At 35.6% G+C, this 17,470-nt stretch overlaps 1 long non-coding RNA gene across 1 annotated transcript; it reads right to left on the minus strand.

The window, feature by feature from the left end:
- Positions 1-6,816: 6,816 nt before the first annotated feature.
- Positions 6,817-16,964, minus strand: LOC124902917 (uncharacterized). Its single transcript, XR_007063274.1, has 2 exons — positions 16,006-16,964; positions 6,817-6,931 (listed from the first exon to the last, which is right to left on the minus strand). It is a non-coding gene; the product is annotated as an uncharacterized LOC124902917 (long non-coding RNA).
- Between the last annotated feature and the right edge of the window lie 506 nt (positions 16,965-17,470).

The raw sequence follows: 17,470 nt of genomic DNA on the forward strand, positions 1-17,470 counted from the left end.
CCTCCCAAGTAGCTGGGACTACAGGCGCCTGCCACCACGCCCGGCTAATTTTTTGTATTTTTAGTAGAGACGGGGTTTCACTGTTTTAGCCGGGATGGTCTCGATCTCCTGACCTCGTGATCCGCCCGCCTCGGCCTCCCAAAATGCTGGGATTACAGGCGTGAGCCACCGCGCCCGGCCCAAAGCTAACATTATTTTAAATTTTGTTTGTAACTTCACTTTTGGTTTTCTACATAATTTATGAGATTGGTGTATTAAAAACCAATTACTAGTCTATATTTTTGGATACACAATATATAATGATGTAATTTTATGATATCAATAGCTGAAAGGGAATGGGGCCAGAGATGTATAGGAACATAATTTTTGTAGGATTTTGAAGTTAAGCTGGTAAAAATTTAAATTAGAGTGCATTAACTTTAGGATTTTAAATATAATCCCATGATAAACACATAAAAAGTAGCTATAGAATACACACAAGAGAGAATGAGAAGGTAATTATAATGTTTAATACAAAAAATTAACTAAACACAAAAGCAGACAATAATACAGGAAATCAAGGACAAAAGATACGAAGCATACAGAAAATGAATAGCAAATAGACAGAAGCAAGTTCTTTTTTATCGGCAATTATTCTAAATGTAATAAGATTAAATTCTCCTATCAAAAGACAGAGATTGGCAGAATGGGTAAAAAACAAGATAACTCAACTATATGCTGTCTATAAGAGATTCACTCTAGATCCAAAGATACACATAGGTTGAAAGTAAAAGGATAGAAAAAGATATTTCATGCAAACAGTAATCAAAAGAGAGTAGGGATGGCCATACTATCAGGCAAAATATATTTTAAATAAAAAAAATTATAGGAGACAAACAAAATATTGTATACTAATAAAAGGTTTAGTATAGCAAGAAGATATGATTATAAACATCCACATGCCTAATGACAAGTCACCAAATTATAGAAAGCAAAAATGAGCAGAATTTAAAGGAGAAAGAAATAGTTCTACAATAATAGTTGGAGGCTTTAATGCCCTACTCTCAATAATAGATAGATCAACCAGACAGAAGATCGGTTAAAAAAAAAAAAATAGAGAACTTAAGAGAATAAAACTAGTTATCTCTAATAGGCACATACAGAACCTTCTAAACAAAAACAAAAAAATATGCAAGTGTACATCAGACATTCTTCAGGACAGACCATACGTTAGGCTACAAATTAAATACCAATAGATTTAAAAAGAGATATCATACAAAGTGTCTTCTACCACAGCAGAATGAAGTTAGAAATCAGTAACAGATGAAAAACTAGAAAATTCACAAAATTTGTAAAAATTAAACAACACACTCTTAATCTATGGATCAAAAGAAATCACAAGGCAAATTAGAAAATATATGGAGATGAATGGAAATAAAAACAGAACATACCAAAACTTATGAAACACAGTGAAAGCAGTACCGAAGGGGAAATTTATAGCTATAAAAGCTTACATTAAAAAAAATCTCAAATCAATAGCCTAGATTTAAAACTTTAGGAATGATTAAAAAAAAAACCTAACTAAATGTAAAGCTAGAAGTTAAGCATTTGTAAAGATCAGAGCAGAGATAAATAAAATAGAGAATAGAAAAATGATAGAGAAAAATCAATAAAACCAAAAGTTGGTTCTTCATAGACATTAATAAAATTGACAAACATACTGCTAGATTGACTAAGAAAAAGAGAGAAAGCTCAAATAAGGAATGAACATGGATATATGACTATGAATTCTATAGAAATATAAATAATTATGGGAGATTACTTTGTATATGAACAAATCGGATAACTCTGATGAAATGAACACATTCCTGGAAACATAAAGCCTACAAAAACTGGATAACAAAGAAATGCAAAATCTGAATAGACCTATAACTAGTAAGGAGATTTAATCAGTAATCAAAAACTCCTAAAAAAGAAAAAGCTCTAGACCAAATAGCTTCACTGGTAAATTCTACTGTGTTTGTTTCTTTTCTGCTGCTATAACATAATACGTGAGACCGAATCACTTGCAAAGAACAGAAATTTATCTCCTGACAGTTATGGAGGCTGAGAGGTCCAAGGTCAAGAGGCTGGCATCTTGTGAGGGCCTTCTTGCTGTATCACAACCTGGCAGAAGACATCACATGGGCAAGAAGGAGAAAAGGGGGCTGAATTCCCCCTTTTATAACAAACCCACTCTCGTGATAAAAGCATTAATTCATTCATGAGGGTGGAGCCCTCATGACTTAAACAGCTCTTAAAGGTCTCATTACCCAATACACTGCACTGGGGATCAAGTTTCCAACACATGAACTTTGGGGGATACATTCAAACCATAGCATCTACCAAACACTTTAAGAACTAACATCTATCCTTCTCAAATTTTTCCAAAATTCGAAATAGAGGGAACACGTTCTAACTCATTCTATGAGGACAATATTGCCCTGATACCAAAGCCAGAAAAAGACATTACAAGTAAAAAAAACTTCAAACCAATATCCCTGATGCACATGAATACAAAAATCCAAGTGAGGTTTATTTCTATAATGCAAGGATGCCTCATCATTCAAAAATTAATTAATGTATAAACCACATTAACAGAAAGGATAAAAATATTTATGAAAAGCTACAGTGAACATTATACTCAGTGTCCAATGGTGGAAGATTAAAATTTTTTCCTCTAAGATGAAGAATAAGGCAAGGATGCCTACTCTCACCACTTCTATTGTTCAACATGGTACTGGAAATCCTAGCCAGAGCAATTCAGCAAGAAAAAAGAAGTAAAAGGCATCAAAATTTGAAAGGAAACAATAAAATTATCATTGTACTTAGATGATATGATCTTACATGTAGAATTCCCCAAAGATTACACAAGAAAACTGTTAGAAATAATAAACAGGCCAGGCATGATGGCTCACACCTGTAATCCCAGCACTTTGGGAGGCCAAGTCAGGTGGATCACCTGAGGTCAAGAGTTCAAGACCAGCCTGGCCAGCATGGCAAAACCCCGTCTCTACTAAAAAAAATACAAAAATTATCTGTGTGTGATGGCAGATGCCTGTAATCCCAGCTACTCGGGAGGCTGAGGCAGGGAGAATTGCTTGAATCTGGGAGGTGGAGGTTGCAGTGAGCCAAGTTCACGCTACTGCACTCCAGCCTGGGTGGAAGAAAGAGACTCTGTCTCAAAAAGAAAAAAAAAAGAAAGAAAATAAAAGAAATAATAAACAAATACAGAAAATTAACAGAATACAAAATCCACATGCAAAAATAAGCTGATTGTCTATGCACTAATAATAGTTGGAGGCTTTAATACCCTGCTCTCAATAATAGATAGATCAACCAGACAGAAGATAAGTTAAAAAAAATAGAGAACACAATAAAATGAGTATCTCTAACAGACATATACAGAACTAATAAGCAATCCAAAAACGAAATTAAGAAAACAATTCCATCTACAAAAGCATTAAAATAATAAAATACTTAGGAGTTAACCCAACACAAAAGGTAAAAGACTTGTACACTAGTCCTGATTTTTCTGAGAGGCACACATTTCAAGATGCCCAGTGAATCCCTGAAAGTACAGATAGCAATAAAACCTACACACACACACACACACACACACACACACAATGATTTTTTTCTGTATGTACATACCCACGATATAAATTAAACACAGTAAGAGATTAACAACAATAACAAATAATAAAACATAACAATTATAACAATATGCCAGCATCACTGCTCTTGCACCTTGGGACCAGTATTAAGTAAAATAAGGATTACTTTGGCACAATCATTGCAATAATGCAGCAATCAGTCTGATAACTGAGTAAGCTACTAAGTGACTCATGGGCAGGTAGTATATACAGTGTGGATGCACTAGACAAGGGGATAATTCATATCACAGGCAGGACAGAGAAGGATGGCACAAGATTTCATCATGCTACTCAGAATGGCCTATAATTTAAAACTTATGAATTGTTTATTTCTGAAATTTTCCATTTAATATTTTTGAACCTTGATGACCTTGGGTAACTGAAATGGCAGAATGCTAAACCACTGATAATGTGGGAACTACGGTATACTGAAAACTACAAAACACTGCTGAAAGGAATGAAAAATGATAAATAAATTAATAAATGGAATAAGATCCCATGTTTATGTATTGGAAGACAATATTCTTAAGATGTCAATACTATCCAAAGCAATCTACAAACTCAATGCAATCAATATCAAAATACCAATTCTTCTGTGCATGTGGTGGAGAGGGACAGCAAGTGCAGTGTCCAGAGGCCCCTTTTCTGATTTCCCAGTCCACAGCAGCAGTGACACTGGGAATGCTCCAGCCTTCTAGAGACCAGATCCTTCTGGCAGCAATCATAAATAGATCCAGGGTTTACAGAAAAATATATTCCTGGGTTCTCTATTCTGTTCCATTGGTCTATGTGTCTGTTTTTGTACCAGTACTATGCTGTTTTTGTTACTGTATCCCTGTAGTATAGTTTGAAATCAGGTAGCATAATTCCTTCAGCTTTGTTCTTTTTGCTTAGGATTGCCTTGGCTATTTGGGCTCCTTTTTGGTTCCATAAGAATTTTAAAACAGTTTCTTTTTCTAGTTCTGTGAATCATGTCAATTATAGTTTAATAGAAATAGCATTGATTCTATAAATTGCTTCAGGCAGTATTGGCATTTTAATAATATTTATTCTCTCTATCTATGAGCATGGAATGTTTTTTCCATGTTTGTGTCATATCTGGTTTCTTTGAGCAGTGTTTTGTAGTTCTCTTTGTAGAGAGCTTTCAGCTCCTTGTTTAGACGAGAATGAGGCTGCACACCTACAACTATCTGATCTTTGACAAATCTGACAAAAACAAGCAATGTGGAAATGATTCCCTATTCAATAAATGGTGCTGAGATACTGGTTAGCCATATGTAAAAGACTGAAACTGGGCCCCAGCCTTATCCCATATACAAAAATTAACTCAAGATGGATTAAATACTTAAATGTAAAACCCAAAACTATAAAATCCCTGGAACACAACCTAGGCAATACTATTCTGGACATAGGAATGGACACATATTTCATAATGAAGACACCAAAAGCAATTGCAATGAAAGCAAAAATTGACAAATGGGATCTAATTAAACTAAAGAGCTTCTGCACAGCAAAGGAAACTATCAACAGAGTGAACAGACTACCTACAGAGTGGGAGAAAAGTTTTACAAACTATGCTTCTGACAAAAGTCTAATATCCAGCATCTATAAAGAACTTAAACAAATGTACAAGAAAGAATAATTAAAAAGTGGACAAATGACACGAATAGACACTTTTCCAAAGAAGACATGCATGCAGCCAACAATCATGTGACAAATAGCTCAACATCATTGATAATTAGAGAAATGCAAATCAAAACCTCAATGAGATACCAACTCACACCCGTCAAAATGGCTATTATTAAAAAGTCAAAAAATAACAGATGCTGGCAAGGTTGTGGAGAAAAAGGAATGCTTATATGCTGTTGGTGGAAGTGTGAATTAGTTCAACCATTGTGGAAGAAAGTGTGGCGATTCCTCAAAGATCTAAAGACAGAAATACCATTCAACCCAGCAATCCCATTACTGGTTATATACCTGAAAAATATAAATTGTTCTAATATAAATGCACAGGCATGTGTATGTTCATTGCGGCATTATTCACAATAGCAAAGACATGGAATCAACCTAAATGCCCATCAATGATAGATTGGATAAAGAAAATGTAGTACATGTACACCATGGAATACTATGTAGCCATAAAAAAGAACAAGATTATGTCTTTCACAGGAACACGCATGAAGCTGGAGGCAATTATCCTTAGCAAGCAAACACAGGAACAGAAAAACAAATACCACATGTTCTCACTTATAAGTGGGAGCTAAATGATGAGAACTTATGGCCACTCAAAGGGGAACAACACACACTGGGGCTCACCAGACCGTGGAGGGTTGAGAGTGGGAGGAGGGAGAGAATCAAAAAAAATAAGTAATGACTACTAGGCTTAATACCTGATAACAAAGTAATCTGTACAACAAACCCCCATGACACAAGTTTACCTATATAACAAATCTGCACATATACCCCTGAACTTAAAATAAAAGTTAAATTTAAAAAGAAAAATACAGGGCCGGGCACGGTGGCTCACGCCTGTAATCCCAGCACTTTGGGAGGCTGAAGCCGGTGGATCACAAGGTCAGGAAATCAAGACCAGCCTGTCCAAGATGGTGAAACCCCGTCTCTACTAAAAATACAAAAATTAGCCAGGCGTGGTGGTGCATGCCTGTAATCCCAGCTACTTGGGAGGCTGAGGCAGGAGAACTGCTAGAACCCAGGAGGCGGAGGTTGCAGTGAGCCAAGATCATGCCACTACACCCCAGCCTGGGCAACAAGAATGAAATTCCATTTAAAAAAATAAAAGAAAAGAAAAAGAAAAAAAAATACAGTCCTAATGAATGGGAAAATGAGGAGTCATAGTAAAGAAATAAAAAGTATAAAAGAGAGCCAGATAAAAATTTTAAATCTAAAAATATAATAAGTGAATCAAAATTAATTGAACAGCTTAACAACAAATTGGAGAAAGTAAAAGAATCAGTGAAGTTCAATGATACAGAATTGAAAACATTAAATCTGGAGAACTGCAAGAATAAAGATTGAAGAAAAATTAAGTGAATATCAGTGACCTATGTGATAGTATAAGACAGTTTAAGACATATGTAATTGGAGCTACAGCTGTAAAGGAGAAACAGAAACTAGCAGAAAATTTACTTGTAAAATTTTATTTTTCTCTTTGATATTCTTCAGTTTTCGTGAGATGCGTACGTATCAATGACTCTGTTTTCACTCATCAGGCATTTTGAACATCTTCAATCTGAAAACTAATAATGTTACTATTAGAAAATTATCAACTATTATCTTCCCTTGTCTATGATCTTTCCAACCTTTTTTCTTGCTAATTCTGGAATTCCTATTACTATATGTTAGACCTTCATTTACTCTCTTTCATGTCTGTATTTTCATCTCTTTATCTCACTATATACATCACTAAATTGATTTTTCTATATACTATCCCTCTTTAGTTGAATTTACTGTTCTGTATAATCTGTCCTTTGTATTCATAATTTTATTAATTATATTTTTCTTAGAGATTTGATTTGTCTCTGTTTCACATTTAGTCTTTTACAATTCCCATACCTCCCTCAATATGGATTTTATCCTTCTTGTATCTCTTTAAACATTAAGCAATTAACATTGTTAAACAATGTTAACAAACGTTAAATTTCCCATTGTTAAACAATGTTAAACATTGACATTCCATAGTCATGTTTGTATTGTTCTTTTATTGCTAGCTATTCATATATTATTGTTCACATTTGTTGACTAGGGTAATTAATTTTCATGTGGAGTTTAAATTTTTTTATGTCTCATCTTCAGTGAGGGCAGATTTATTTGTGGGAGTCTTACTGTGGGCCAATGTTAAATTATTAACTTTTGGTTTCCTACCACATGGGTGGTAAACATTCAAACCTCACAGCCTGTGATTTGGGATTAGAGTTTCCATTTCTTCAAGGTTATGTTTTTTTCCTTTTATGGTTCTGAGCAATTGACATGATTCCTGATGTTCCCCGGACCTGTGGATTTTCTAGTCCAATTTTCATAGACATTATAGCCAACAGTGACATCTATTTTCTTTTCTTTGAAGAGGGTTCCATTCCAGCTGTGCCAAAAGCACAGCTTTTGTTCCAATATGAGTAACAATATCCTGATCTCTCAACTTTATCTCAGCTCTCATACCTCCAAGCGACTTCAGTAACAGCTAAAAGTTCTGTTTTATGTTTCACTGTCATTTGCAGCAATGAACAAATATCTCCTCCCTTTTGTTGTCTTTTGGTGAGTTTGGCTGTACATTTTTCTAACGTGTTGTTCCCAAGAATTCAGTCATTTTTCTCTAGAAGTGCAGTGTTTTCAGGAGGAGTTTTTGTGGCAGTACAGAGAAGAATCACGTTTACTGAGTTTGCCATATTTAACCTCCTTTTCACATTAGGATAGAGATATTCCTATGTCATTGATTTTTCATTGCTTCATTTTTATTGACTGAAGACTAACTATATTTGTATGTCCTAAATGTCTTAAATTAACCAACTAAATCTCTATTTTGGGACCTTTTGGTCGTTTCCATTTTTCCTCTCTCATAGACCTTTTCTCATAATGAATATTGCATTATTTAGTTACTTTTTTAAAGTATCCAGTAGAAAACAGTCAAGAGATATGCACACACACATACAATATTAAAATATTAAAAGCAATGGTAAAAATTGTAATTACTTTTGTACCAACACAATAATAACAAAGCCAAATAGAGCAGAAGGTTCTAGGTAGTAACAATAGTCAAGGAAAGAGTTAATAAATGGGAAAGTACCAAAATTTCCATTCCCTATAGCAATGCTTTAGCTATCAAAAAGCTCTATTTGGGGCCAAGTGTGGTAGCTCACACCTGTAATCCCAGCACTTTGGAAGGTCAAGGCAGGCAGATCACCTGAGTTTGTGAGTTTGAGACAAGCCTGGCCAACATGATAAAACCATCTCTACTAAAAACACAAAAATAATCTGGGTGTGGTGGCACATGCCTGTAATCCCAGCTATTTGGGAGGCTGAGGCACAAGAGTCACTTGAACATGGAAGGTGGAAGTTGCAGTGAGCTGAGATAGCACCACTGCACTCCAGCCTGGGTGACAGAGCAAGACTCTGTCTTAAAAAAAGAAAAGAAGCTTTGTTTGTTTGTTAGTTTGTTTGTTGGAAATAGGGTTCTTTTTGTGTTTTTTGAAGCAATGAATGGTCCATAAAATGAAAGAATGTTGTAGTAAACGAGAACGAAATTCCTTTGATGGCACTGTATTGCAGAATGAGACTGATCATGCTGTAAGAAAAACATTAATGTCATTGGAGCAGATATCACTTTCTCTATTTCATGCTGACTGCTTTCTATTTTGAGATGTCTACTGGATGGTAACATATAGAATCCTGAGGAGCATCACTTTATCAGTCTTTGAAAAGAATTAGTAATTGTGATTAGTGCACTTCAGCTGAAACTACTGTGAACTTATTGGAACTAATCTTCCAAAGTGTTTCCGATACTATGAACGCTAAAGTTGCTCATCAAAGCTAAAGCAATCTAGCACTCCTTAAAGCTGCCAGAGTCCTCTTCCATCTCAGAAGGATTCTATTTCCAATTTAGGTCCATTAAATTGAGTGGACACAGAGATATAGCTAAAATATTCCAGAAAAAGCAAAATAAACTCTTAAAAAGTAAAATAAAACACACAACATCAAACAAATTGTATGGAAAAAAGCAACACACAAAACCTGAAGATACCATACATACAATTGCTAAAAGAGACAAGGGAGGTTAAATTTGATTTCTGGCATGGTTTGAATATTTGTCCCCTCCAAATCTCATGTTAAAATGTTATTCTCAATGTTGGAGGTGGGGCCTCATGGGAGATGATTGAATCATAAAAGTGGAGTCCTCATGAATAGCTTAGCAACATCCCCTTCGTGATAAGTAAGTTCTCACTCAGTTAACACGTGATCTGGTCGTTTAAAAGAGTTTGAGATCTCCCCACTGTCTCCCTTGCTCCTACTCTCACCGTATGACATGCTGGCTCCCCCTTGCCATCCGCCATGATTCTAAGCTTCCCAAGGCCCCCACCAGAAGCAGACACCAGCACCATACTTCCTATAAAGCCTGCAGAACTGCGAGCCAATTAAACCTCTTTTCTTTATAAACCACCCAGATTCAGGTATTTATAGTGATGCAAAAATGGACCAATACAATTCCTAAATCTAATTTTCCTGGAAGAGGTCAATGACATTCATTGGAAACCAATTCCATCATTGTTACAATCAAGGTTTTCTTCATAAACAGACAATAGAACTAAGGACTTAATAGCATTTTCTTTCTGCTCACTGTGGTCTATGGAGAGCAGATCTTCTAATACATTTTAGGTAGAAGATAGTGTACCTATTTTCCATTCGAAAGTCTTATTTTTACTCACATAGATAAGAGAAAGCTAAATTGCCTTCAACTCTCAATTGGTTACCTGATTGAATTGGCTTTCACTCCCATAAAATATTCTTCCTGCTCACTTCCAAGTTCACTTAAGTCCCTATAGTGTTACATGAAATACAGCACTGCTTAATCCATGGTACAAATACAATAAAATCAAACAGAACTGACTGTTATAATTTTTGATTAGACAATAAAGCTCAGATATGCTAAGTGACTTGCTTAAGTGACAGCCAAGACTGTCAGGCTGTTCTCCCAGGTTATTCAGGAAAGTTCCCATGCAGGATATAAATTCTGACCCATGTTTGACCTACAATAAGATATAATTTTAAAGGGAGAGCAGATCATTGTAAAAAGAAGAAATAAAATTTCACATCCTTCAAAATTCAGAATTGTTTTAAAGCATGATAAGCAGTGAAAATAAGTACGTTTGCCTGAACAGAAAAAATAGCAAGAGAGATACCAAAAATCTTCTCACCTGTTGATATGGTCTGGCTTTTTGTCCCTCCCCCAAATCTCACCTTGAATTGTAACCCCCATAATTCTCACTTGTCAAGGGCAGGACCAGGTGGAGGTAATCGGATCATGAGGGTGGCTTCCTCTATGCTATTCTCATGATAATGAGTGATTCTCACGAGATCTGATGCTTTTATAAGCATCTGGTATTTCCCCTGCTTGCACTCACTCCACTCTGCCACCTTGTGAAGAAGGTGCCTGCTTCTCCTCTGCCTTCAGCCATGATTGTAAGTTTCCTGAGGCCTCCCAGCCATGTGTGTGAGTCAATTAAACCTCTTTCCTTTAAAAATTACCCAGTCTTGGGTATTTCTTCATAGAAGTGTGAGAACAGACTAATACACCTGCAAAATGTGTGTATGTGTGTGTTGCAGAGAGTATTTTTGTATATTCCTAAGTATAAAATATATAAAATGTATTGGATATTAAACATTAGAGCTCATCCATTCAAATATTTGGAGGAAGTATCGCGGAAATTTTTAAGTATTTTTGGAACTATGTTGGAGATGTATTAAGTTCTCATTGCTGCTACAATAAATTACCACCAACTAGTGGCTTAAAATACTACAAATTTATCATTATACATTTCTGGAGGGCAGAAATCAAAGATGGGTGTTACTTACAGGGCTAAAATCATAAGAGTCAGCCGAGCTGTGTTTCTTTCGGAGGCTCTAGGGAAGAATTAATTTTCTTTCCTCTAACAGCTTCTAGAGGCCATCTTGGTTCTTATTCCCTTTTCCATCATCAAAACCAGCAACAAGCTGCACACGGGGGCTCACATGTGTAATTCCAGCACTTTGGGAGGCCAAGGTGTGAGGATTTCTTGAGCCCAGGAGTTTGAGATCAGTCTGGGCAACATGGCAAAATCACATCTCTAGGAAAAATACAAAAAAATTGGCCAGGAGTGGTGGTCCATGCCTGTAATCCTAGCACTTTGGGAGGCTGAGGTGGGCAGACTGCCTGAGCTCAGGAGTCAAGACCAGCCTGGGCAAGACAGTGGAACCCTGTCTCTACTAAAGTACAAAAAATTAGCTGGGGGTGGTGGCACGTGCCTGTAGTTCCAGTTACTCGGGAGGCTGAGACAGGAGAATCACTTGAACCCGAGAGGCAGAATTTGCAGTGAGCCGAGATCACGGCACTGCACTCCAGCCTGGGTGACAGAAAGAGACTCCATCTCAAAAAAAAAAAAAAGAGAAAAAGAAAAAATACAAAAAATTAGTTGGGCATGGTGGCCTGTATCTATAGTACCAGCTACTCAGGAGACTGAAGTAGGAGGATTGCCCGAGCCTGGGATGTCAAGGCTTCAGTGAGCCATGATTGTGCTGCTGCACTCCAGCCTGGGTGACAGAGTGAGACGTTGTCTCAAACAGGAAAAAAAAAAAAAAGTAGCATAAAATCTTCAATCTGTCTTTCTCTCTGACTTTGTCTTTCTCTGACTTTGCTTCTATTGTCACATCTCTTTCTCTCTCTGACTTTCATAGCTCCCCCTCATAAAAACCCTGTCATTACATTGGGCCCACCTGCATAATACAGGATAATCTCCCATCTCAAGGTCCCTTAAATTAATCACACCTGAAAAGTCCTAGGCCCACTTAAATAAGGTGGTATATTCACAGGTACTTGGTGTTAGGACACAGGTGTTTTGGGGGAGCCATTTTTCTGTCTACCACAAAAGAATATGAGAATAGAAAGGAAAAAAGGAGAGGGAAAAACATGCAGCCACTCATCCTTTATTAACATTATTAGATTTCTACGGGCTGTCATTGCAAAGACCTCCTTCTATCACAATCAAATAAGTTTCTTATGAGCCCGTCTGGTAGCTTCTTATTCTTTCCCTGGAATGAAATTCTTTGTTCAGAGCCCTCCATGGGCTTTGGATCTGCTCCTGGAAGTTTCTTCGGATGCCGTTCTTGGGAACTGCATACTTTGGGGACTCAGTTAATGATAGATGTTTAAGGACTAAAGATTGTTTTAGGAATAAAACAGGCTATTTCAGGCATTTCTTTAGCCAAACAATTTTATCACAAATATAGTCATCTCTTTTTTTTAATTTTATTATTATTATACTTTAAGTTCTTTAAGTTTTAGGGTACATGTGCACAACGTGCAGGTTTGTTACATACGTATCTGAGGACTGTTGTGGGGTGAGGGATTTGGGAGGGATAGCATTAGGAGATATACCTAATGCTAAATGACGAGTTAATGGGGGCAGCACACCAATATGGCACATGTATAGTCATCTCTTTACTTCAACTAATTTCACTGTTTCTAGTTAGTTCCATGTGTAAGTAACCAAATCCAAATATTTCATTAGACATCTTTTATTAGCCTGGAACCTAGTCTTCTACTTATTGAGCTTCAGGCTCTGCCCATTCCTTCTTCTCTTATTTAAATTGAGGATAGCTTGAGGCCATCTGAAACTTCAGGTTTGTGTAGGAAGGCAAAATCTTTAATTTGCTTTCTGTTTCTCCCACGTTTAGCAGAGAATTCCTAAAGGAAGCTACTTCAAAAATCTGCTTCAGTCTTAACCACCTACTAGTGTATTTGAAGCCATCATTTACAACTGTTTCGATTTGTATACTATGGTTTGAAAATTTGTCCTCCCCAAAACTCATGTTGAAATTTAATTGTCATTGTAACAATATTGAGAGCTGGGACCTTTAGGATGTGATTAAACCATGAGGGATATTAATGCCAGTATGGTGAAATTAATGCCAGTATAAAAAGGCAAGTTCAGCCCCTTTTAGTTTCTGTTTGCTCTTCTGTTTCCCACCATGTGATGACACAGCAAGAAGACCCTCACCAGAAGTCAGCCTCTTGATCTTAAACTTTCTAGGCTCCAGAATTGTGAGGAAATAAATTTCTGTTCACTCTAAATTAGTAAGTTTCTGATGTTTTATTATAGCAGCACGAAATGAACTGAGACATTGGTGTACAGAGTAGTTGGCTTTTTAACCATGCAAAGCCTCAAATTACAGACTATCCATTAATTTAAATTCTGGTTATAGGTAGAAAGTGCCTATTTTAGCAGTTATATTTGCTCTGTGCCTACTTTATTGAAATCAGAATGAACCATCCAACACAGATGACGTCTTCTAAACTGTTCCTGTTATTTGTCATAATGCTACAATCTCAGTGGATATGTGAACTGCCTTTCAAGACATCAATGGCAGCAGTTTAACTACATTTTTTTTAATGGCCATAGTACAATAGGAGCCACTAGCTTCATAGTTGGCAATATCTGTGCCTTTGCTACTTATTATTTGGTAAAAACAATGTCAAATATTTTAGTTGTGTGCAGCACTGTACTTTGAAGTTAAATTTGTTTTTTTTAGAATTAAGATTATCTATGAAAAATAAAAAAGACATAGAAGTAAAATAGGAGTTTGTTTTTCTCTTACAACATCTGAAAGGCAGTCTAAAGTTAGCATGCCTCCTCAGGATGTCATGGACATCTTACCATCAAGTTGCTCTTCCACACATGGCTTCAAATTCTTGTATCTGTATTCTAGGTAACAAAATATAGGATGATTGCAGAAAGAAAATCTCATGACATTTCTACCTGTATACATTTTGCCAGATCTTGGTCACATGATTACACAAAGCTGCAAGGAAAGCTAGAAAATATAATTTTTACTGTAGATAGGAGCCATTTTTTCAACTAAAAGTCAGGGATTCTATTACAGCAAAAGAAGAGAGATCAGAAATGTCTAAATTTACCCTTGGCTGTACTTGGGGAAATTCTAAAAATATCCCACTATAAAATAGCCTAGAATTTACCTCCTAGGAGCCAGATAAAATTTACCTAGGATCAGGTATGGGCATTGGTACTAAAAACAAATGTCAAAAACCTCACTATTGATTTAATTGTGTAGACATCATTGAGAATCCCTGAATTTTGTCATTACAGAAGACTTTGTTGAGGAGATATAAGTAAACCCAACCCTTAAAGAATGGGTTTGAGTTTGGATTGGTAGATAATGGAATGACAGAATTGAAATTAGGCATTTCAGGTCAGGAACAGGACAGTGTCCGTGTCTTTAGTGTTTCCTTATAAAAAGCCATGACAACCGTTTATGGATTAAGGAAATATATGCGTATTACTTCACCAACATTCCACTTCCCTCTTTGAACCTGTTTAGAATTGTTTAGAATTGGTGACTGTTAGAAGTCACCAAGAAGACTTCTGGTGAGGGTCTTCTTGCTGTGTCATCACATGGTGGGAAACAGAAGAGCAAACAGAAACTAAAAGGGGCTGAACTTGCCTTTTTATACTGGCATTAATTTCACCATACTGGCATTAATATTAATTGTTTGTTTAGAACCAAACAATTCCATTCTGATGGTTTACACACAGATTTCTCCTCTTTTTCTGGCCTTTCATGGAGCAGTCATCTGGACTTCTATGTAACTTTTCCCCAAGTTTCTGCCTCAACTCCTCATACTTCAATTTTATGCATACAGATGTTCAGTTAATCCCAGCCAAATATTGCTAACCTTTGTATTGAACCTAAGTTCCCTTGAAAATACAACTAGCATCCCACATCTCAACCCACCCATCCAGCAAAAATAGAATGGCATAGAAAAAACTTTAACAGAAGCAAAAATCATCCAATACATACAGTTTAAACCACAGATTATAGGTTGGTTTCCAATTCTTTTAGTCTAATTTACTTTATATACATTTTTTATACATTTTGCTTCCAGTTTGTGGTCATCATTCTCCTAAGACATATATTTTACTTTTATGCATACTACCAATCTCCATACTTTTTCAAGGGTCAGCTCCAAATTCCAATTATCAATTAAGTAGTACAATGCATGTAGATTAGGAGAATGCCAAAGTTGGTAGAGCAGCACTGTAAATATGCCTTCTAGTTCTCTGGTTGGTAATCAGAGCATTATTTATTAGATAGTCTTTGATTTAAGCTCAAAATGCCCTTATGACAACATGGAATATTTTCTAGAAGTATTTTAAACTTGGTGAATACTTATTTCAAATAACTCATTCTCAAAATTACCTTTCTTTAGATTCAGGTCGTTTTACATTTATTCTTTTAAAAATATGCTCTACATTAACTCTGAAATCTCTCCTCCAGAGCTTGGCCAAATTATCATGTTGATTGCATTCCCACTTCTTAATTTCCAAAGTGCACCAGGAAATTGTAGAGGTGCAGCACAGTCTATGCTAGGTTCACATTCACTTACTGTGCTAATGAAAGGTTTAAGCCTTTGGTATTGGTAGCTTAGTAGCTCTCTCTGTGTATGTGCCTAAATTTGGTAGCATAAAGAAAATTTCTATCACTGGGGGCTAAAGTAGTAATCAAAACAGGGTTATCAATGGCATTAATTTGTAAAGATTTAGATGCTCACATTTGCTGCTTCTCTTTCAATTGCCACCAGGGATGCAGTCACTGAAGCAAACTTAATCAGAAAATATAATATTTTATAGGACCAACCAAACACAAAGAAAATCACATTCCAAATGCAAAAACTTCCAGAATATACTAGATATAGTAAATATGACATATAATTTAAGTAATAAGATCTTGCAGGTTAATCATAATTAGAAGTGCTGAACATTAGGAATTATTAAAAAGCAAAACTATCAACTATTTGATCTTTTACATGTGTTGTGCCCATGAAATGTATACTCTGTGATTTGTATCAGCATAAGAATTGGCCAAAGAAGATACAACTTCCTGTATTGTACCGGCTGAATATAATTCAAAACATGTAGGAAAATATAATAGTGAAACTCATAGAAGCAGAAGATACAATAGTGGTTGTCAGGGGCTGAGGGGTGGGGGAAATAGAAAGTTGTTCAATGCTTATAAAGTTTCAGTTAGGGTAGATGAATAAGTTCTAGAGATCTGTACAACATAGTGCCTATAATTAATAGCACAGATTTATGCACTTCAAATTTTGTTAAGAGAACTCATTTTAAGCATTTTTATCACAATACAACAACAACAAAACAAAGGGACACAAAGAAACTTTGGGAGATGCTAGAAATGTCTATTACCTTCATTGTGGTGATGGTATCCCAAAAGTCTGCATATGTCCAAACTCTACATATTAAATATGTTCATTTTTTGATAAATTATACCATAATAATACTGTTTATAAGAGTGTAGGAGACAGAGGCTCTGATGTAAGTCCTATAATCACAAATGACAAATCTAGATACATGTTTGTATTTGCTTATAAGTCTAATCTGCCATTTAGGAGTCTCAAACTTTAAAAAATAAAAAGGACATTTTTCATCTAGCCTCAGTATCAAACTCTGCTGTCTTTAACCCGATTTTTAAAAAAGAGAAAGAAAAAATGGAATAAAGGAATAGTATAATCATACATGATATTTGAGCATATTAAAATGCCACTTCAATTAAAGAAAATTCATACTGATGTAGAGAAACACAGAGAAATTAGATAAAAGGAAATAGTCCCAAATATACTATATATAAAATTTGGCATATAAATGTCATTAGGAAAAGATAAAGTATTCAATAAATGTTGTGAAAAGAGCTAGCTAGTAAATAAACCTGGTTTCTTTTGTCATCTATTACAGCAAAATAAGTTTCACATGCATCAAATATTCAAATATTAAAAATAAAATTAAAGTACTAGAGAAAGCAAAGGCAATAATCTTTGAGCGGATAAAGTCCCTTCTACTTGAAAGAAATAAATCAAAGTTACAAAGAAATAATTTTTACTGCACATATACTTTTAAAGTTCTTTAGCCAAACACCATAAAGAAAAAAGTTTAACATCTAGGAAAATTACTTTTAATATTTGTAAAGAAAGTACAAATGTTTTTCATATGTAAAGAACCCTT

The sequence above is a fragment of the Homo sapiens genome, chromosome 12 (genome assembly GCF_000001405.40).
Source record: "Homo sapiens chromosome 12, GRCh38.p14 Primary Assembly".
In the NCBI taxonomy this organism is placed as follows: Eukaryota; Metazoa; Chordata; class Mammalia; order Primates; family Hominidae; genus Homo; species Homo sapiens.